The sequence below is a fragment of the Homo sapiens genome, chromosome 7, assembly GCF_000001405.40.
Source record: "Homo sapiens chromosome 7, GRCh38.p14 Primary Assembly".
Lineage (NCBI taxonomy): Eukaryota > Metazoa > Chordata > Mammalia > Primates > Hominidae > Homo > Homo sapiens.
In genome coordinates, this window is record NC_000007.14 from 56813174 (window position 1) to 56833590 (window position 20417).

Genomic DNA, 20417 nt, shown 5'->3' on the forward strand with positions numbered 1-20417 from the left:
GCAGAGTCTGCCGGGAGGCAGGAGCTGTCCCTGGACAGGCCTACTTGACGACAGTCTGGTCCCGCAGAGGCTGCCGGGAGGAAGAGCTGGGCCTGGAGAGGCCGACTGCAGGAAGTGCAGGACCTGGAGCCCATGGAAAGGAGCAAACGCCAGGCCGGGAGAGGCCGCCCTGACACATGAGCTTGGCCTCCGGAGGGCCGTGAGGCAGGAGCTGGGCCTGCGGGGGCCGCCCCAAGGTGGGAGCCTGGTCCGAGGAGGCCACGGCGAGGCAAGAGGTGGGCGTGGAGGGCCCACTGTTGAGGTAGAGGCTGGGCCTCTAGAGGCCGCCAACAGGCAGGGGCTGGGCCTGGAGAAGCCAACAGAGGCATGAACTGGGCCTCAACAGGCCAGCGTGAGGGAGGACTTCTCTCAGCGTGAGAGAGGCCAGAGTGAGGCAGGGCCTCACGCTGACCTCCCTCAGCGTTAGAGAGGCCAGTGTGAGGCAGGGGCTCACGCTGACCTCCCTCAGCGTGAGAGAGGCCAGTGTGAGGCAGGGGCTCACGCTGACCTCCCTCAGCGTGAGAGAGGCCAATGTAAGGCAGGGGCTCACGCCTCTCGAAAGGGTGCCAGAGGCATGAGTTGGGCCTCAACAGGCCACCGTGACGGAGGAGCTGGGCCGCACACAGGCTGCTGGGAGGCAGGCAGGGACTTGGTCCCGGGAGGCCGCCGTGAGGCCAGAGCTGGGCCTGGAGACGCCCCTGGGAGGCAAGAGCGGGGCCTGCAGAGGCTGTTCTCCAGCCAGACCTGGGCCTGTACAGGCCACCGGGAGGCAGGAGGTGGGACTGAGGAGCTTCGCTGGAGAAAGTTCAGGGTCTACAAAAGCCGGCGGGAGCTGGGCAGGAGCTGAGCCAAAAGAGCTTGCTTGCTGGGAGGCCGGAACTGGGCCTGGAGAGGCTGACTTCAGGACCACTTGGGCCTGCAGAGGCCGCCGGGAGGCCCAAGCTGGGCCTGGAGAAGCCCACCGACCCGAGGCCATTTGGGACCTGGAGACGCCGTCGGAGGGCAGGAGCTGAGCCTGGAGAGGCCGCCGAGAGGCCTGAGGTGGGCCCGGTGAGCTTGGCTTCAGGAAGCTGTGGGCCGACCAAGGCCACCAGGAGCTGGGCAGGCACTGAGTCCAAAGAGGTTGTTGGGAGGCAGGAGTCGGGCCTGTAGACGCAGCCGGGAGGAAGAGCTGGGCCCGGAGAGGACGCCGGGAGGCTGCAAGTGGTTCTGGAGAGGCCGACTTGAGGAGCTTCTGGGCCCGGAGAGGCCGCCGGAAGGGAAAAACTGGGCCTGGAAAGGCCGTTGTGAGGAATGAGCCCCATGGGCCTGAAGAGGCCACTGGCAGGTGGGAGCTGGGCCTGCCGAAGCGGCGGAGAGGCCGGAGCTTTGGACTAGGGAGGCCGCAGGCGAGAGCGAGCTGGGCGTGGAGAGACCGCTGTGAGGCAGAGGCTGGGCCTGTGCAAGCTTTCGGGAGGCAGGAGGCCAGGCCTGCAGAGGCCGACTGGAGGTCAAGTTCGGGGCCTGCAGAGGCCGCGGAAAGTCAAAAGCGGGGCCTGGGAAGGCCGCTGGGAGGCATGAGCTGGGCTGGGCTGAAAGAGGCCACTGGGAGACAGGAGGAGCTGGACCTGGAGAGACGGACTCGAGGAACTTTTGCACCTGGAGAGGCCGCCGAGAGGCCGGAGCTGGGCCTGGGGAGGCTGACTTGAGGACGACTTGGGCCTGCAGAGTCTGCCGGGAGGCAGGAGCTGTCCCTGGACAGGCCTACTTGACGACAGTCTGGTCCCGCAGAGGCTGCCGGGAGGAAGAGCTGGGCCTGGAGAGGCCGACTGCAGGAAGTGCAGGACCTGGAGCCCATGCAAAGGAGGAAACGACAGGCCGGGAGAGGCCGCCCTGACGCATGACCTTGGCCTCCGGAGGGCCGTGAGGCAGGAGCTGGGCCTGCGGGGGCCGCCCCAAGGCGGGAGCCTGGTCCGAGGAGGCCACGGCGAGGCAAGAGGTGGGCGTGGAGGGCCCACGGTTGAGGTAGAGGCTGGGCCTCTAGAGGCCGCAAACAGGCAGGGGCTGGGCCTAGAGAAGCCAACAGAGGCATGAACTGGGCCTCAACAGGCCAGCGTGAGGGAGGACTTCTCTCAGCGTTAGAGAGGCCAGTGTGAGGCAGGGCCTCACGCTGACCTCCCTCAGCGTTAGAGAGGCCAGTGTGAGGCAGGGCCTCACGCTGACCTCCCTCAGCGTGAGAGAGGCCAGTGTGAGGCAGGGCCACACGCTGACCTCCCTCAGCGTGAGAGAGGCCAGTGTGAGGCAGGGGCTCACGCTGACCTCCCTCAGCGTGAGAGAGGCCAATGTGAGGCAGGGGCTCACGCCTCTCGAAAGGGTGCCAGAGGCATGAGTTGGGCCTCAACAGGCCACCGTGACGGAGGAGCTGGGCCGCACACAGGCTGCTGGGAGGCAGGCAGGGACTTGGTCCCGGGAGGCCGCCGTGAGGCCAGAGCTGGGCCTGGAGACGCCCCTGGGAGGCAAGAGCCGGGCCTGCAGAGGCTGTTCTCCAGCCAGACCTGGGCCTGTACAGGCCACCGGGAGGCAGGAGGTGGGACTGAGGAGCTTCGCTGGAGAAAGTTCAGGGTCTACAAAAGCCGGCGGGAGCTGGGCAGGAGCTGAGCCAAAAGAGCTTGCTTGCTGGGAGGCCGGAGCTGGGCCTGGAGAGGCTGACTTCAGGACCACTTGAGCCTGCAGAGGCCGCCGGGAGGCCCAAGCTGGGCCTGGAGAAGCCCACCGACCCGAGGCCATTTGGGGCCTGGAGACGCCGTCGGAGGGCAGGAGCTGAGCCTGGAGAGGCCACCGTGAGGCCTGAGCTGGGCCCGGGGAGCTTGGCTTCAGGAAGCTGTGGGCCGACCAAGGCCACCAGGAGCTGGGCAGGCACTGAGTCCAAAGAGGTTGTTGGGAGGCAGGAGTCGGGCCTGCAGACGCAGCCGGGAGGAAGAGCTGGGCCCGGAGAGGATGCCGGGAGGCTGCAAGTGGGTCTGGAGAGGCCGACTTGAAGAGCTTCTGGGCCCGGAGAGGCCGCCGGAAGGGAAAAACTGGGCCTCGAAAGGCCGTTGTGAGGAATGAGCCCCATGGGCCTGAAGAGGCCACTGGCAGGCGGGAGCTGGGCCTGCCGAAGCGGCGGAGAGGCCGGAGCTTTGGACTCGGGAGGCCGCAGGCGAGAGCGAGCTGGGCGTGGAGAGTCCGCTGTGAGGCAGAGGCTGGGCCTGTGCAAGCTTTCGGGAGGCAGGAGGCCAGGCCTGCAGAGGCCGACTGGAGGTCAAGTTCGGGGCCTGCAGAGGCCGCGGAAAGTCAAAAGCGGGGCCTGGGAAGGCCGCCGGGAGGCATGAGCTGGGCTGGGCTGAAAGAGGCCACTGGGAGACAGGAGGAGCTGGACCTGGAGAGACGGACTCGAGGAACTTTTGCACCTGGAGAGGCCGCCGAGAGGCCGGAGCTGGGCCTGGGGAGGCTGACTTGAGGACGACTTGGGCCTGCAGAGTCTGCCAGGAGGCAGGAGCTGTCCCTGGACAGGCCTACTTGACGACAGTCTGGTCCCGCAGAGGCTGCCGGGAGGAAGAGCTGGGCCTGGAGAGGCCGACTGCAGGAAGTGCAGGACCTGGAGCCCATGCAAAGGAGCAAACGCCAGGCCGGGAGAGGCCGCCCTGACACATGAGCTTGGCCTCCGGAGGGCCGTGAGGCAGGAGCTGGGCCTGCGGGGGCCGCCCCAAGGCGGGAGCCTGGTCCGAGGAGGCCACGGCGAGGCAAGAGGTGGGCGTGGAGGGCCCACGGTTGAGGTAGAGGCTGGGCCTCTAGAGGCCGCCAACAGGCAGGGGCTGGGCCTGGAGAAGCCAACAGAGGCATGAACTGGGCCTCAACAGGCCAGCGTGAGGGAGGACTTCTCTCAGCGTGACAGAGGCCAGTGTGAGGCAGGGCCTCACGCTGACCTCCCTCAGCGTTAGAGAGGCCAGTGTGAGGCAGGGCCTCACGCTGACCTCCCTCAGCGTGAGAGAGGCCAGTGTGAGGCAGGGCCACATGCTGACCTCCCTCAGCGTGAGAGAGGCCAGTGTGAGGCAGGGGCTCACGCTGACCTCCCTCAGCGTGAGAGAGGCCAGTGTGAGGCAGGGGCTCACGCTGACCTCCCTCAGCGTGAGAGAGGCCAGTGTGAGGCAGGGGCTCACGCTGACCTCCCTCAGCGTGAGAGAGGCCAATGTGAGGCAGGGGCTCACGCCTCTCGAAAGGGTGCCAGAGGCATGAGTTGGGCCTCAACAGGCCACCGTGACGGAGGAGCTGGGCCGCACACTGGCTGCTGGGAGGCAGGCAGGGACTTGGTCCCGGGAGGCCGCCGTGAGGCCAGAGCTGGGCCTGGAGACGCCCCTGGGAGGCAAGAGCGGGGCCTGCAGAGGCTGTTCTCCAGCCAGACCTGGGCCTGTACAGGCCACCGGGAGGCAGGAGGTGGGACTGAGGAGCTTCGCTGGAGAAAGTTCAGGGTCTACAAAAGCCGGCGGGAGCTGGGCAGGAGCTGAGCCAAAAGAGCTTGCTTGCTCGGAGGCCGGAGCTGGGCCTGGAGAGGCTGACTTCAGGACCACTTGAGCCTGCAGAGGCCGCCGGGAGGCCCAAGCTGGGCCTGGAGAAGCCCACCGACCCGAGGCCATTTGGGGCCTGGAGACGCCGTCGGAGGGCAGGAGCTGAGCCTGGAGAGGCCGCCGTGAGGCCTGAGCTGGGCCCGGGGAGCTTGGCTTCAGGAAGCTGTGGGCCGACCAAGGCCACCAGGAGCTGGGCAGGCACTGAGTCCAAAGAGGTTGTTGGGAGGCAGGAGTCGGGCCTGTAGACGCAGCCGGGAGGAAGAGCTGGGCCCGGAGAGGACGCCGGGAGGCTGCAAGTGGGTCTGGAGAGGCCGACTTGAGGAGCTTCTGGGCCCGGAGAGGCCGCCGGAAGGGAAAAACTGGGCCTGGAAAGGCCGTTGTGAGGAATGAGCCCCATGGGCCTGAAGAGGCCACTGGCAGGCGGGAGCTGGGCCTGCCGAAGCGGCGGAGAGGCCGGAGCTTTGGACTTGGGAGGCCGCAGGCGAGAGCGAGCTGGGCGTGGAGAGTCCGCTGTGAGGCAGAGGCTGGGCCTGTGCAAGCTTTCGGGAGGCAGGAGGCCAGGCCTGCAGAGGCCGACTGGAGGTCAAGTTCGGGGCCTGCAGAGGCCGCGGAAAGTCAAAAGCGGGGCCTGGGAAGGCCGCCGGGAGGCATGAGCTGGGCTGGGCTGAAGGAGGCCACTGGGAGACAGGAGGAGCTGGACCTGGAGAGACGGACTCGAGGAACTTTTGCACCTGGAGAGGCCGCCGAGAGGCCGGAGCTGGGCCTGGGGAGGCTGACTTGAGGACGACTTGGGCCTGCAGAGTCTGTCGGGAGGCAGGAGCTGTCCCTGGACAGGCCTACTTGACGACAATCTGGTCCCGCAGAGGCTGCCGGGAGGAAGAGCTGGGCCTGGAGAGGCCGACTGCAGGAAGTGCAGGACCTGGAGCCCATGCAAAGGAGCAAACGCCAGGCCGGGAGAGGCCGCCCTGACACATGAGCTTGGCCTCCGGAGGGCCGTGAGGCAGGAGCTGGGCCTGCGGGGGCCGCCCCAAGGCGGGAGCCTGGTCCGAGGAGGCCACGGCGAGGCAAGAGGTGGGCGTGGAGGGCCCACGGTTGAGGTAGAGGCTGGGCCTCTAGAGGCCGCCAACAGGCAGGGGCTGGGCCTGGAGAAGCCAACAGAGGCATGAACTGGGCCTCAACAGGCCAGCGTGAGGGAGGACTTCTCTCAGCGTGAGAGAGGCCAGTGTGAGGCAGGGCCTCACGCTGACCTCCCTCAGCGTTAGAGAGGCCAGTGTGAGGCAGGGCCTCACGCTGACCTCCCTCAGCGTGAGAGAGGCCAGTGTGAGGCAGGGCCACACGCTGACCTCCCTCAGCGTGAGAGAGGCCAGTGTGAGGCAGGGGCTCACGCTGACCTCCCTCAGCGTGAGAGAGGCCAGTGTGAGGCAGGGGCTCACGCTGACCTCCCTCAGCGTGAGAGAGGCCAATGTGAGGCAGGGGCTCACGCCTCTCGAAAGGGTGCCAGAGGCATGAGTTGGGCCTCAACAGGCCACCGTGACGGAGGAGCTGGGCCGCACACAGGCTGCTGGGAGGCAGGCAGGGACTTGGTCCCGGGAGGCCGCCGTGAGGCCAGAGCTGGGCCTGGAGACGCCCCTGGGAGGCAAGAGCGGGGCCTGCAGAGGCTGTTCTCCAGCCAGACCTGGGCCTGTACAGGCCACCGGGAGGCAGGAGGTGGGACTGAGGAGCTTCGCTGGAGAAAGTTCAGGGTCTACAAAAGCCGGCGGGAGCTGGGCAGGAGCTGAGCCAAAAGAGCTTGCTTGCTGGGAGGCCGGAGCTGGGCCTGGAGAGGCTGACTTCAGGACCACTTGAGCCTGCAGAGGCCGCCGGGAGGCCCAAGCTGGGCCTGGAGAAGCCCACCGACCCGAGGCCATTTGGGGCCTGGAGACGCCGTCGGAGGGCAGGAGCTGAGCCTGGAGAGGCCGCCGTGAGGCCTGAGCTGGGCCCGGGGAGCTTGGCTTCAGGAAGCTGTGGGCCGACCAAGGCCACCAGGAGCTGGGCAGGCACTGAGTCCAAAGAGGTTGTTGGGAGGCAGGAGTCGGGCCTGTAGACGCAGCCGGGAGGAAGAGCTGGGCCCGGAGAGGACGCCGGGAGGCTGCAAGTGGGTCTGGAGAGGCCGACTTGAGGAGCTTCTGGGCCCGGAGAGGCCGCCGGAAGGGAAAAACTGGGCCTGGAAAGGCCGTTGTGAGGAATGAGCCCCATGGGCCTGAAGAGGCCACTGGCAGGCGGGAGCTGGGCCTGCGGAAGCGGCGGAGAGGCCGGAGCTTTGGACTAGGGAGGCCGCAGGCGAGAGCGAGCTGGGCGTGGAGAGTCCGCTGTGAGGCAGAGGCTGGGCCTGTGCAAGCTTTCGGGAGGCAGGAGGCCAGGCCTGCAGAGGCCGACTAGAGGTCAAGTTCGGGGCCTGCAGAGGCCGCGGAAAGTCAAAAGCGGGGCCTGGGAAGGCCGCCGGGAGGCATGAGCTGGGCTGGGCTGAAAGAGGCCACTGGGAGACAGGAGGAGCTGGACCTGGAGAGACGGACTCGAGGAACTTTTGCACCTGGAGAGGCCGCCGAGAGGCCGGAGCTGGGCCTGGGGAGGCTGACTTGAGGACGACTTGGGCCTGCAGAGTCTGCCGGGAGGCAGGAGCTGTCCCTGGACAGGCCTACTTGACGACAGTCTGGTCCCGCAGAGGCTGCCGGGAGGAAGAGCTGGGCCTGGAGAGGCCGACTGCAGGAAGTGCAGGACCTGGAGCCCATGCAAAGGAGCAAACGCCAGGCCGGGAGAGGCCGCCCTGACACATGAGCTTGGCCTCCGGAGGGCCGTGAGGCAGGAGCTGGGCCTGCGGGGGCCGCCCCAAGGCGGGAGCCTGGTCCGAGGAGGCCACGGCGAGGCAAGAGGTGGGCGTGGAGGGCCCACGGTTGAGGTAGAGGCTGGGCCTCTAGAGGCCGCCAACAGGCAGGGGCTGGGCCTGGAGAAGCCAACAGAGGCATGAACTGGGCCTCAACAGGCCAGCGTGAGGGAGGACTTCTCTCAGCGTGAGAGAGGCCAGTGTGAGGCAGGGCCTCACGCTGACCTCCCTCAGCGTTAGAGAGGCCAGTGTGAGGCAGGGCCTCACGCTGACCTCCCTCAGCGTGAGAGAGGCCAGTGTGAGGCAGGGCCACACGCTGACCTGCCTCAGCGTGAGAGAGGCCAGTGTGAGGCAGGGGCTCACGCTGACCTCCCTCAGCGTTAGAGAGGCCAGTGTGAGGCAGGGCCTCACGCTGACCTCCCTCAGCGTGAGAGAGGCCAGTGTGAGGCAGGGCCACACGCTGACCTCCCTCAGCGTGAGAGAGGCCAGTGTGAGGCAGGGGCTCACGCTGACCTCCCTCAGCGTGAGAGAGGCCAGTGTGAGGCAGGGGCTCACGCTGACCTCCCTCAGCGTGAGAGAGGCCAATGTGAGGCAGGGGCTCACGCCTCTTGAAAGGGTGCCAGAGGCATGAGTTGGGCCTCAACAGGCCACCGTGACGGAGGAGCTGGGCCGCACACAGGCTGCTGGGAGGCAGGCAGGGACTTGGTCCCGGGAGGCCGCCGTGAGGCCAGAGCTGGGCCTGGAGACGCCCCTGGGAGGCAAGAGCGGGGCCTGCAGAGGCTGTTCTCCAGCCAGACCTGGGCCTGTACAGGCCACCGGGAGGCAGGAGGTGGGACTGAGGAGCTTCGCTGGAGAAAGTTCAGGGTCTACAAAAGCCGGCGGGAGCTGGGCAGGAGCTGAGCCAAAAGAGCTTGCTTGCTGGGAGGCCAGAACTGGGCCTGGAGAGGCTGACTTCAGGACCACTTGAGCCTGCAGAGGCCGCCGGGAGGCCCAAGCTGGGCCTGGAGAAGCCCACCGACCCGAGGCCATTTGGGGCCTGGAGACGCCGTCGGAGGGCAGGAGCTGAGCTTGGAGAGGCCGCCGTGAGGCCTGAGCTGGGCCCGGGGAGCTTGGCTTCAGGAAGCTGTGGCACGACCAAGGCCACCAGGAGCTGGGTAGGCACTGAGTCCAAAGAGGTTGTTGGGAGGCAGGAGTCGGGCCTGTAGACGCAGCCGGGAGGAAGAGCTGGGCCCGGAGAGGACGCCGGGAGGCTGCAAGTGGGTCTGGAGAGGCCGACTTGAGGAGCTTCTGGGCCCGGAGAGGCCGCCGGAAGGGAAAAACTGGGCCTGGAAAGGCCGTTGTGAGGAATGAGCCCCATGGGCCTGAAGAGGCCACTGGCAGGCGGGAGCTGGGCCTGCGGAAGCGGCGGAGAGGCCGGAGCTTTGGACTAGGGAGGCCGCAGGCGAGAGCGAGCTGGGCGTGGAGAGTCCGCTGTGAGGCAGAGGCTGGGCCTGTGCAAGCTGTCGGGAGGCAGGAGGCCAGGCCTGCAGAGGCCGACTAGAGGTCAAGTTCGGGGCCTGCAGAGGCCGCGGAAAGTCAAAAGCGGGGCCTGGGAAGGCCGCCGGGAGGCATGAGCTGGGCTGGGCTGAAAGAGGCCACTGGGAGACAGGAGGAGCTGGACCTGGAGAGACGGACTCGAGGAAGTTTTGCACCTGGAGAGGCCACCGAGAGGCCGGAGCTGGGCCTGGGGAGGCTGACTTGAGGACGACTTGGGCCTGCAGAGTCTGCCGGGAGGCAGGAGCTGTCCCTGGACAGGCCTACTTGACGACAGTCTGGTCCCGCAGAGGCTGCCGGGAGGAAGAGCTGGGCCTGGAGAGGCCGACTGCAGGAAGTGCAGGACCTGGAGCCCATGCAAAGGAGCAAACGCCAGGCCGGGAGAGGCCGCCCTGACACATGAGCTTGGCCTCCGGAGGGCCGTGAGGCAGGAGCTGGGCCTGCGGGGGCCGCCCCAAGGCGGGAGCCTGGTCCGAGGAGGCCACGGCGAGGCAAGAGGTGGGCGTGGAGGGCCCACGGTTGAGGTAGAGGCTGGGCCTCTAGAGGCCGCCAACAGGCAGGGGCTGGGCCTGGAGAAGCCAACAGAGGCATGAACTGGGCCTCAACAGGCCAGCGTGAGGGAGGACTTCTCTCAGCGTGAGAGAGGCCAGTGTGAGGCAGGGCCTCACGCTGACCTCCCTCAGCGTTAGAGAGGCCAGTGTGAGGCAGGGCCTCACGCTGACCTCCCTCAGCGTGAGAGAGGCCAGTGTGAGGCAGGGCCACACGCTGACCTGCCTCAGCGTGAGAGAGGCCAGTGTGAGGCAGGGCCACACGCTGACCTGCCTCAGCGTGAGAGAGGCCAGTGTGAGGCAGGGGCTCACGCTGACCTCCCTCAGCGTGAGAGAGGCCAATGTGAGGCAGGGGCTCACGCCTCTCGAAAGGGTGCCAGAGGCATGAGTTGGGCCTGAACAGGCCACCGTGACGGAGGAGCTGGGCCGCACACAGGCTGCTGGGAGGCAGGCAGGGACTTGGTCCCGGGAGGCCGCCGTGAGGCCAGAGCTGGGCCTGGAGACGCCCCTGGGAGGCAAGAGCGGGGCCTGCAGAGGCTGTTCTCCAGCCAGACCTGGGCCTGTACAGGCCACCGGGAGGCAGGAGGTGGGACTGAGGAGCTTCGCTGGAGAAAGTTCAGGGTCTACAAAAGCCGGCGGGAGCTGGGCAGGAGCTGAGCAGGAGCTGAGCCAAAAGAGCTTGCTTGCTGGGAGGCCGGAACTGGGCCTGGAGAGGCTGACTTCAGGACCACTTGAGCCTGCAGAGGCCGCCGGGAGGCCCAAGCTGGGCCTGGAGAAGCCCACCGACCCGAGGCCATTTGGGGCCTGGAGACGCCGTCGGAGGGCAGGAGCTGAGCCTGGAGAGGCCACCGTGAGGCCTGAGCTGGGCCTGGGGAGCTTGGCTTCAGGAAGCTGTGGGCCGACCAAGGCCACCAGGAGCTGGGCAGGCAGAGTCCAAAGAGGTTGTTGGGAGGCAGGAGTCGGGCCTGCAGACGCAGCCGGGAGGAAGAGCTGGGCCCGGAGAGGACGCCGGGAGGCTGCAAGTGGGTCTGGAGAGGCCGACTTGAGGAGCTTCTGGGCCCGGAGAGGCCGCCGGAAGGGAAAAACTGGGCCTGGAAAGGCCGTTGTGAGGAATGAGCCCCATGGGCCTGAAGAGGCCACTGGCAGGCGGGAGCTGGGCCTGCCGAAGCGGCGGAGAGGCCGGAGCTTTGGACTCGGGAGGCCGCAGGCGAGAGCGAGCTGGGCGTGGAGAGTCCGCTGTGAGGCAGAGGATGGGCCTGTGCAAGCTTTCGGGAGGCAGGAGACCAGGCCTGCAGAGGCCGACTGGAGGTCAATTTCGGGGCCTGCAGAGGTCGCGGAAAGTCAAAAGCGGGGCCTGGGAAGGTCGCCGGGAGGCATGAGCTGGGCTGGGCTGAAAGAGGCCACTGGGAGACAGGAGGAGCTGGACCTGGAGAGACGGACTCGAGGAACTTTTGCACCTGGAGAGGCCGCCGAGAGGCCGGAGCTGGGCCTGGGGAGGCTGACTTGAGGACGACTTGGGCCTGCAGAGTCTGCCGGGAGGCAGGAGCTGTCCCTGGACAGGCCTACTTGACGACAGTCTGGTCCTGCAGAGGCTGCCGGGAGGAAGCGCTGGGCCTGGAGAGGCCGACTGGAGGAAGTGCAGGACCTGGAGCCCATGCAAAGGAGCAAACGCCAGGCCGGGAGAGGCCGCTCTGACGCATGAGCTTGGCCTCCGGAGGGCCGTGAGGCAGGAGCTGGGCCTGCGGGGGCCGCCCCAAGGCGGGAGCCTGGCCCGAGGACGCCACGGCAAGGCAACAGGTGGGCGTGGAGGGCCCACTGTTGAGGTAGAGGCTGGGCCTCTAGAGGCCGCCAACAGGCAGGGGCTGGGCCTGGAGAAGCCAACAGAGGCATGAACTGGGCCTCAACAGGCCAGCGTGAGGGAGGACTTCCCTCAGCGTGAGAGAGGCCACTGTGAGGCAGGGCCTCACGCTGACGTCCCTCAGCGTGAGAGAGGCCAGTGTGAGGCAGGGCCTCACGCTGACCTCCCTCAGCGTTAGAGAGGCCACTGTGAGGCAGGGGCTCACGATGACCTCCCTCAGCGTGAGAGAGGCCAATGTGAGGCAGGGGCTCACGCCTCTCGAAAGGGTGCCAGAGGCATGAGTTGGGCCTCAACAGGCCACCGTGACGGAGGAGCTGGGCCGCACACAGGCTGCTGGGAGGCAGGCAGGGACTTGGTCCCGGGAGGCCGCCGTGAGGCCAGAGCTGGGCCTGGAGACGCCCCTGGGAGGCAAGAGCGGGGCCTGCAGAGGCTGTTCTCCAGCCAGACCTGGGCCTGTACAGGCCACCGGGAGGCAGGAGGTGGGACTGAGGAGCTTCGCTGGAGAAAGTTCAGGGTCTACAAAAGCCGGCGGGAGCTGGGCAGGAGCTGAGCCAAAAGAGCTTGCTTGCTGGGAGGCCGGAGCTGGGCCTGGAGAGGCTGACTTCAGGACCACTTGGGCCTGCAGAGGCCGCCGGGAGGCCCAACCTGGGCCTGGAGAAGCCCACCGACCGGAGGCCATTTGGGGCTTGGAGACGCCGTCAGAGGGCAGGAGCTGAGCCTGGAGAGGCCACCGTGAGGCCTGAGCTGGGCCTGGGGAGCTTGGCTTGAGGAAGCTGTGGGCCGACCAAGGCCACCAGGAGCTGGGCAGGCACTGAGTCCAAAGAGGTTGTTGGGAGGCAGGAGTCGGGCCTGCAGATGCAGCCGGGAGGAAGAGCTGGGCCCGGAGAGGACGCCGGGAGGCTACAAGTGGGTCTGGAGAGGCCGACTTGAGGAGCTTCTGGGCCCGGAGAGGCCGCCGGAAGGGAAAAACTGGGCCTGGAAAGGCCGTTGTGAGGAATGAGCCCCATGGGCCTGAAGAGGCCACTGGCAGGCGGGAGCTGGGCCTGCCGAAGCGGCGGAGAGGCCGGAGCTTTGGACTCGGGAGGCCGCAGGCGAGAGCGAGCTGGGCGTGGAGAGTCCGCTGTGAGGCAGAGGATGGGCCTGTGCAAGCTTTCGGGAGGCAGGAGGCCAGGCCTGCAGAGGCCGAATGGAAGTCAAGTTCGGGGCCTGCAGAGGCCGCGGAAAGTCAAAAGCGGGGCCTGGGAAGGCCGCCGGGAGGCATGAGCTGGGCTGGGCTGAAAGAGGCCACTGGGAGACAGGAGGAGCTGGACCTGGAGAGACGGACTCGAGGAAGTTTTGCACCTGGAGAGGCCGCCGAGAGGCCGGAGCTGGGCCTGGGGAGGCTGACTTGAGGACGACTTGGGCCTGCAGAGTCTGCCGGGAGGCAGGAGCTGTCCCTGGACAGGCCTACTTGACGACAGTCTGGTCCCGCAGAGGCTGCCGGGAGGAAGAGCTGGGCCTGGAGAGGCCGACTGGAGGAAGTGCAGGACCTGGAGCCCATGCAAAGGAGCAAACGCCAGGCCGGGAGAGGCCGCCCTGACGCATGAGCTTGGCCTCCGGAGGGCCGTGAGGCAGGAGCTGGGCCTGCGGGGGCCGCCCCAAGGCGGGAGCCTGGTCCGAGGAGGCCACGGCGAGGCAAGAGGTGGGCGTGGAGGGCCCACTCTTGAGGTAGAGGCTGGGCCTCTAGAGGGCGCCAACAGGCAGGGGCTGGGCCTGGAGAAGCCAACAGAGGCATGAACTGGGCCTCAACAGGCCAGCGTGAGGGAGGACTTCTCTCAGCGTGAGAGAGGCCACTGTGAGGCAGGGCCTCACGCTGACCTCCCTCAGCGTGAGAGAGGCCAGTGTGAGGCAGGGCCTCACGCTGACCTCCCTCAGCGTGAGAGAGGCCAGTGTGAGGCAGGGCCACACGCTGACCTCCCTCAGCGTGAGACAGGCCAGTGTGAGGCAGGGGCTCACGCTGACCTCCCTCAGCGTGAGAGAGGCCAGTGTGAGGCAGGGGCTCAAGCTGACCTCCCTCAGCGTGAGAGAGGCCAGTGTGAGGCAGGGGCTCACGCCTCTCGAAAGGGTGCCAGAGGCATGAGTTGGGCGTCAACAGGCCACCGTGACGGAGGAGCTGGGCCGCACACAGGCCGCTGGGAGGCAGGCAGGGACTTCGTCCCGGGAGGCCGCCGTGAGGCCAGAGCTGGGCCTGGAGATGCCCCTGCGAGGCAAGAGCGGGGCCTGCAGAGGCTGTTCTCCAGCCAGACCTGGGCCTGTACAGGCCACCGGGAGGCAGGAGGTGGGACTGAGGAGCTTCGCTGGAGAAAGTTCAGGGTCTACAAAAGCCGGCGGGAGCTGGGCAGGAGCTGAGCCAAAAGAGCTTGCTTGCTGGGAGGCCGGAGCTGGGCCTGGAGAGGCTGACTTCAGGACCACTTGAGCCTGCAGAGGCCGCCGGGAGGCCCAAGCTGGGCCTGGAGAAGCCCACCGACCCGAGGCCATTTGGGGCCTGGAGACGCCGTCGGAGGGCAGGAGGTGAGCCTGGAGAGGCCACCGTGAGGCCTGAGCTGGGCCCGGGGAGCTTGGCTTCAGGAAGCTGTGGGCCGACCAAGGCCACCAGGAGCTGGGCAGGCACTGAGTCCAAAGAGGTTGTTGGGAGGCAGGAGTCGGGCCTGTAGATGTAGCCAGGAGGAAGAGCTGGGCCCGAAGAGGACGCCGGGAGGCTGCAAGTGGGTCTGGAGAGGCCGACTTGAGGAGCTTCTGGGCCCGGAGAGGCCGCCGGAAGGGAAAAACTGGGCCTGGAAAGGCCGTTGTGAGGAATGAGCCCCATGGGGCTGAAGAGGCCACTGGCAGGCGGCAGTTGAGCCTGCCGAAGCGGCGGAGAGGCCGGAGCTTTGGACTCGGGAGGCCGCAGTGAGGCGAGAGCGAGCTGGGCGTGGAGAGTCCGCTGTGAGGCAGAGGCTGGGCCTGTGCAAGCCTTCGGGAGGCAGGAGGCCGGGCCTGGAGAGGCCGACTGGAGGTCAAGTTCGGGACCTGCAGAGGCTGCGGAAAGTCAAAAGCGGGGCCTGGGAAGGCAGCCGGGAGGCATGAGCTGGCCTGGGCTGAAAGAGGCCACTGGGAGACAGGAGGAGCTGGGCCTGGAGAGACGGTCTCGAGGAAGTTTTGCACTTGGAGTGGCCGCCAAGAGGCCAGAGCTGGGCCTGGGGAGGCTGACTGGAGGACGAATTGGGCCTACAGAGGCCACCGGGAGGCAGGAGCTGTCCCTGGACAGGCCTACTTGACAACAGTCTGGTCCTGCAGAGGCTGCCGGGAGGAAGAGCTGGGCCCGGAGAGGACGCCGGGAGGCTGCAAGTGTGTCTGGAGAGGCTGACTTGAGGAGCTTCTGGGCCCGGAGAGGCCGCCGGAAGGGAAAAACTGGGCCTGGAAAGGCCGTTGTGAGGAATGAGCCCCATGGGCCTGAAGAGACCACTGGCAGGCGGGAGCTGGGCCTGCCGAAGCGGCCGAGAGGCAGGAGCTTTGGACTCGGGAGGCCGCAGTGAGGCGAGACCTAGCTGTTCGTGGAGAGTCCACTGTGAGGCAGAGACTGGGCCTGTGCAAGCCTTTGGGAGGCAGGAGGCCGAGCCTGGAGAGGCTGACTGGACGTCAAGTTCGGGGTCTGCAGAGGCCGCCGAAAGTCAAAAGCGGGGCCTGGGAAGGCCGCCGGGAGGCATGAGCTGGGCTGGGCCGAAAGAGGCCACTGGGAGACAGGAGGAGCTGGGCCTGTAGAGGCTGACTCGAGGAACTTTTGCAACTGGAGAGGCTGCCGAGGGGCCGGAGCTAGGCCTAGGGAGGCCGACTTTAGGATGACTTGGGCCTGCAGAGGCTGCCAGGAGGCAGGAATTGGCTCTGGACAGGCCGACTTGACAGTCTGGGCCTGCAGAGGCCGCCGGGAGGAAGAGCTCGGCCTGGAGAGGCCGACTGGAGGAAGTCCAGGGCCTGGAGAGGATGCAAAGCAGCAAACGCTAGGCCTGGAAAGGCTGCCCTGAGGCACGGGCTTCGCCTACAGACGCCACTGGGAGGCAGGAGCTGGGCCCGCAGAGGCTCCCGACAGGGAGGAGCATTGCCCCAGGAGGCCACAGTTAGGAAGAGATGGGCCTGGAGAGCCCACTGTGAGGTAGAGTCCGGGCCTGTAGAGGCCACCGTCAGGCAGGGGCTGCGCCCGTTGAGGCCACAAGAGGCATGAGCTGGGCTTCAACAGGCCAGTGTGAGGCAGGAGGTGACAGTTGGGTAGGTTGCAAGAGGCATGAGTTGGGCCAAAAGAGACCACCGTGAGGGAGGAGCTGGGCCTGTACAAGCTGCCGAAAGGCAGTAACAGCTTTGGACTGGAGAGGCCACAGACAGGGAAGAGCTGGGCGTGGAGAGTCTGCTGTGAGGCAGAGGCTGGGCCTGTACATGCCCTCGGGAAGCAGGAGGCTGGGCCTGGAGAGGCCGACTTGAAGTTTTGCTCCTGCAGAGACCACTTAGAGGCAAGAGCTGGGTGTGGAGAGGCTGACTTGAGGTCGATTTTGGCGTGCAGAAGCCACCGGTAGCTAGGAGTTGGCCCTGGAGAGGCTGATTTGAGAACAATTTTGGCCTGTAGAGGCCACTGGAAAGGAGAGCTTGGCCTGGAGAGGCCAACTAGAGTAAGTTCAGGGCTTGAAGAGTATGCACAAAAGGAAATGCTCAGCCTGGAAAGTGTGCTGTGAGGCATTAGCTTGGCCTACACAGCACTTGGAGGCAGGAGCTGGGCCTGCAGAGGGTGACTTCAGGACGATTTTGGCCTGCAGAAGCCTTTGGGAGGAAGAGCTTACCCTGGACTGGCTGACTGGAGGAAGTTTTGGGACGGGAGTATGCGTCAAAAAGCAAAAGTTAGGCTAGGAAAGGCCACTTCGCGGCACAATCTTGGCCTACAAAGGCAATTGCGAGGCAGGAGCTGGGCCTGTAGAGGCTGCTGAAAGGCAGGAGCTTGGCCTTAGGAGGCTATGCTCAGGCAAGTGGTGGGGCTGGAGGGTCTACTGTGTGGTAAGAGTCTGGGCCTGTGTAGGCCGACATGAGGCAGAAGCTGAGTTAGGAGAGGCCAACTTTTGGAGAATTTGGGCCTGCAGAGGCTGCCAGGAGGCAAGAGCTGTGCCTGGAGAGTCCGTCTTCTAGCATGAGCTGGGCCTAAAGAGACCATTGTGAGGCAGCAGCTGCCTGGGAGGCAGGCAGATTCGTGGCCTGGGGAGGCCACCGTGAGGCAAATGCTCAGTTTTCGGAGGATGCCGTGAGGCAGGGAGAAACTTGGCTTTCGGTGGCCGCAGTGAGGGAATAGTTTGATTGCTGAGGCTGCTGGGAGGCCGAAGGTGGGCCTGGAAAGCTTTACTTTAAGAAGTCTGTGGCCTACAGAGGCTGCCAGCAGCTCAGCAGGAGTTGGGCCAAAGGAGGTTGTTGTGAGGCAGGAGACGGGCCTGTAGACGCACCGGGAGGATGAGCTTGTCCTGGCGATGCCGAGTTAAGCACATTCTGGGCCTGGACAGGCTGCAAAAGGCAAAAGCTGTGCCTGGAAAAGTCGCCATGGGGCATGAGCTTGGCCTAAAGAGGCCATTGCAAGGCAGGGGCTGGGCCCGTAGAGGCTGCCGAAAGGCAGGAGCTCCGCCTGAGGATGCCACAGTGAGACACCATCTGGGTCTGGAGGGTCCACTGTGAGGCAGAGGCTGGCCTGTAGAGTCCAACAGTAGACAGAAGTTGAGCAAAAGGCTAATTTCAGGAAGTTTTGGGCTTCAAGAGTCAGCCAGGAGGCAGGCACTAGGCCTGGAAATGGCCCGACAGTCATGAGTTGGGCCTAAATGGGCCACTGTGAGGGAGGAGCTGTGCCTGTTGAGGCTGCTGGCAGGCAGGCAGAAACTTGGCCTGGGGCAGCTGCCATGAGACAAGAGCTGGGCCTGGAGAAGCCCCTGAGAGGTAAGAGCAGGGCCTGCAGAGGCTGTTCTCAAGTCAAAGCTGGGCCTGTTCATGCCACCGGGAAGCAGAAGGTGGGCCTGGAGAGTTTTACTTGAGGAAGTTTTGGGCCTACATTTGCTGCCGTGAGCTGGACAGGAACTGGGCCAAAAAAGGCTGTTGTGAGGCAGCTGTTATGAGGCAGCAGTTGTGCCTGTAGACTCAGCCAAGAGGAAGAGTTGGGCCTGGAGAAGCCACCATGAGACAGAGGTTGGGCCTGTAGACACTGATAGGAGGCAGGAGCTGGGCCTGGAGAGGTCAACTTGAGGAGATTTTGGGCCTTCATAGGCCACCAGGAGGCAGCAGTTGGGACTAGAGAGGCTGACTTGAGGAAGTTTTGGGCCTGGAGATGACGTCCTGGGACAGGAGCTGGGCCTGGAGAGGCCACCGTGAGGCATGAGTTGGATGTAGAGAGGCCAGTGTGAGGCAAGACCTGGGCCTGTATAGGCTGCTGGGAGACAGGCAGGAATCTGGCCAGGGAAGGTTGCCATGAGACAAAAGTTGGGCCTGGAAAGGCCCCTGTGAGGCATCAGCTTGGCCTAAAGAGGCTACTGGGTGGCAGGAGCTGGGTGTGTAGAAGCTGCTGAAAGGTTGGGAGCTTGGCTTGGGGGGTCCACAGTGAGGCAGATACTGGGCCTGAAGAATCTGCTGTGAGGCAGATGTTGTGACTGTAGAGGCCGACGGGAGGCAGAGGCTGGGCCTGGAGAGGCCAAGATGCAGGAGCTGGGCCTGGAGAGGCTGCCAAGAAGCATGAACTGGGCCTAAACAGGCCAGTGTGAGGCAAGAGATCAGCCTGTAGAGAGGCCTACTTGAGGAAGATTTTGGCCTGGAGAGACTGTCAGAGGCAGGAGCTGGGCCTGTTGAGCCTGCTGGGAGGCAGGCAGGAACTTGGCCAGGGATGACCTCTGTGAGGCAAGAGCTGAGCCTAGAGAGGCCACTGTCTTTCAGGAGCTGGGCCTATTCAAGCTGCCGGGAGGCAGAAGGTTGTGCTGGAAAACTTGATGTGAGAAAGTTTTGGGCCTATAAAGGCTGCCAGGAGCTGGGTAGGAGCTGAGCCGAAAGAGGTTGTTGTGAGGTAGGAGGTGGGCCTGGAGATGCAGCCGGGAGGAAGAGCTGGGCCTGGAGAGGCCCACTTGAGGAAGTTCTGGGTCTGGAGATGCTGCCAAAAGGCAAAACCTGGGCCAGAATGGCCACTGTGAGGCATAAGCTTGCCCTAGAGAGGCCATTGAGGCAGGAGTGGGGCCTGTAGAGGCTGCTGAAAGGCAGGAGCTTGGCCTAGGGGGCTGCAGTGAGGCACATGCTGGGCTGGGAAAATCTGCTGTGAGGCAGACGTTGAGCCTGTAGAGGCTGACGGAAGGCACAAGTTGGGCCTGGAATGGCAGTCTTGAGAAAGTTCTCGGTCTAGAGAAGCTGCTGGGATGCAGGAGCTGTGCCTGGAGAGGCCGACTTGAGGAAGTTTCCGGCACGGAGAGCCTGTCGGGGGGCAGGAGCTGGGCCTGGAGAGGCCACCGTGAGGCGTGAGCTGGGCCTAATGAGATTAGTGTGAGGCAGGATCTGGGCCTGTTGAAGCTGCTGGGAGGCAGGCAGGACCTTGTTTGGGGAAGGCCTCTGTGAGGCAAAAGCTGGGCCTGGAGAGGCCATTGTCACGCAGGAGCTGGGCCTGTCCAGGCCATTGGGAGGCAGAAGGTGGGCCTGGAAAGCTTGACTTGAGGCAGTTTGGGGCCTACAAAGGCCAGTAGGAGCTGGGCAGGAGCTGAGCCAAAAGAGGTTGTTCTGAGGCAGGAGTTGGACCTCCAGACACAGTCAGAAGAAAGAGCACAGCCTGTAGAGGCCACCTGGGGGCAGCAGCTGGGCCTAGAGATGCCAACGAAAGGCAGGAGCTGGGCCTTGAGAGGCTGACTTGCGGACATTTTGGCCCTGGATTTTGTGGCCTGGACTTGCGGACATTTGGCCCTCCTGCAAAGAGGCAGGAGCTGGGACTAAAGAGGCCATTGTAAGGCAGGAGCTGGGCCTGTACAGGCTGCCAGGAGTCAGAAGATGGGCCTCCAGAGGCCACTGTAAAACAGGAGCTGGGTCTTGGAAGGTGGCCGTGAAGCAAAAGCTGGCCCTTGGGAGGCCAATGAGTGGCAGGAGCTGGGCCTGGTGAGGTCGACTTGAGAAAGTTCAGGGCCTGGAGAGAAGGCTGGGAGGCAGGAGCTGGGTCTAAAGAGGCCATTGTAACGATGGAGCTGTGCCTGTGGAGGCTGTTGTGAGGCAGTAGCCTCATCTGCGGAGACTGTCGTGAGGTATGGTATGGGCCTAAATAGGCCATTGTGAGTCATGAGCTTGGTCTGTAGCGGCTGAGTGGAGAAAGTTCTGGGCCTGAAGAGGCTGCTGGGAGGCAGGAGCTGGGCCAAAAGAGCCAAGCACATTACATTTATTAGGTACTTTATTTCCCCTATTATGTTGTAAGATATAATGAAATTATAGAATTCACCATAATGTAGAATCAGTGGCCGTGTTAAGCCTGTTTTCCTGCGACTAGATGGTCCCATCCTCTCAGTGTGATGGGAGAAAGTGACAGATCATCAGGCATTAGATTCTCACAGGGACAGCGCAACCTAGATCCCTCACATGCACAGTTCACAAATAGGGTGTGAGCTCCTATGAGAATCTAATGCTGCTGCTGATCTGAGAGGAGGAGGAGCTCAGGCAGGAATGTGAGCAAAGGGGAGTGGCTGTACATACAGATGAAGCTTCCCTCACTCGACACCACTCACCTCCTGCTGTGTGGCTCCTTACAGCTCCATGGCTCAGGGGTTGGGGACCCCTGCTCAAGTGCATCCAAAAGGACCCTTCCCACAGCAGTCTTCATAGTGGTCAAGTGCAGCAACCACTTAACTCCCAAGGCATGTGCCACAGCTGGCATTTCATCACAATCAACAGTAAGTGGTAGCTTGAGTCACTGTGAGGTCACTTCCTGGAAATCACCAGCATTCCATTTCCCA

At 64.8% G+C, this 20417-nt stretch overlaps 3 protein-coding genes and 6 pseudogenes across 3 annotated transcripts; all 9 read right to left on the minus strand.

Moving 5' to 3' along the window:
- Positions 1-1061: 1061 nt before the first annotated feature.
- LOC124901637 (putative uncharacterized protein FLJ44672) lies at positions 1062-2306 on the minus strand. The gene has a single exon (XM_047421137.1). The coding sequence runs from the start codon at positions 2108-2110 to the stop codon at positions 1562-1564; it is 549 nt and encodes a 182-aa protein (XP_047277093.1). The 5' UTR covers positions 2111-2306; the 3' UTR covers positions 1062-1561.
- On the minus strand, positions 2379-3580 carry LOC100419987 (uncharacterized; annotated as a pseudogene).
- LOC100533650 (uncharacterized) lies at positions 4265-5415 on the minus strand (annotated as a pseudogene).
- On the minus strand, positions 6103-7253 carry LOC100533651 (uncharacterized; annotated as a pseudogene).
- Positions 8085-9286, minus strand: LOC100507393 (putative uncharacterized protein FLJ44672-like; annotated as a pseudogene).
- LOC101928507 (putative uncharacterized protein FLJ46235) lies at positions 9617-10839 on the minus strand (annotated as a pseudogene).
- Positions 10840-10904: 65 nt separating this feature from the next.
- LOC124901639 (putative uncharacterized protein FLJ44672) lies at positions 10905-11483 on the minus strand. Its single transcript, XM_047421139.1, has one exon. It carries the CDS (start codon positions 11451-11453, stop codon positions 10905-10907), a length of 549 nt encoding a protein of 182 aa, XP_047277095.1. The 5' UTR covers positions 11454-11483.
- Positions 11484-11635: 152 nt separating this feature from the next.
- LOC124901638 (putative uncharacterized protein FLJ44672) lies at positions 11636-13362 on the minus strand. The gene has a single exon (XM_047421138.1). The coding sequence runs from the start codon at positions 13193-13195 to the stop codon at positions 12647-12649; it is 549 nt and encodes a 182-aa protein (XP_047277094.1). The 5' UTR covers positions 13196-13362; the 3' UTR covers positions 11636-12646.
- A 3704-nt stretch (positions 13363-17066) lies between these two features.
- LOC112267998 (putative uncharacterized protein FLJ46235) lies at positions 17067-18857 on the minus strand (annotated as a pseudogene).
- Positions 18858-20417: the final 1560 nt, after the last annotated feature.

Excerpts from the sequence above, each read along its gene's own strand:
- LOC124901637 (XM_047421137.1), bottom strand. The coding sequence starts at position 2,110 with ATGCCTCTGTTGGCTTCTCTAGGCCCAGCCCCTGCCTGTTTGCGGCCT.
- LOC124901639 (XM_047421139.1), bottom strand. The coding sequence starts at position 11,453 with ATGCCTCTGTTGGCTTCTCCAGGCCCAGCCCCTGCCTGTTGGCGGCCT.
- LOC124901638 (XM_047421138.1), bottom strand. The coding sequence starts at position 13,195 with ATGCCTCTGTTGGCTTCTCCAGGCCCAGCCCCTGCCTGTTGGCGCCCT.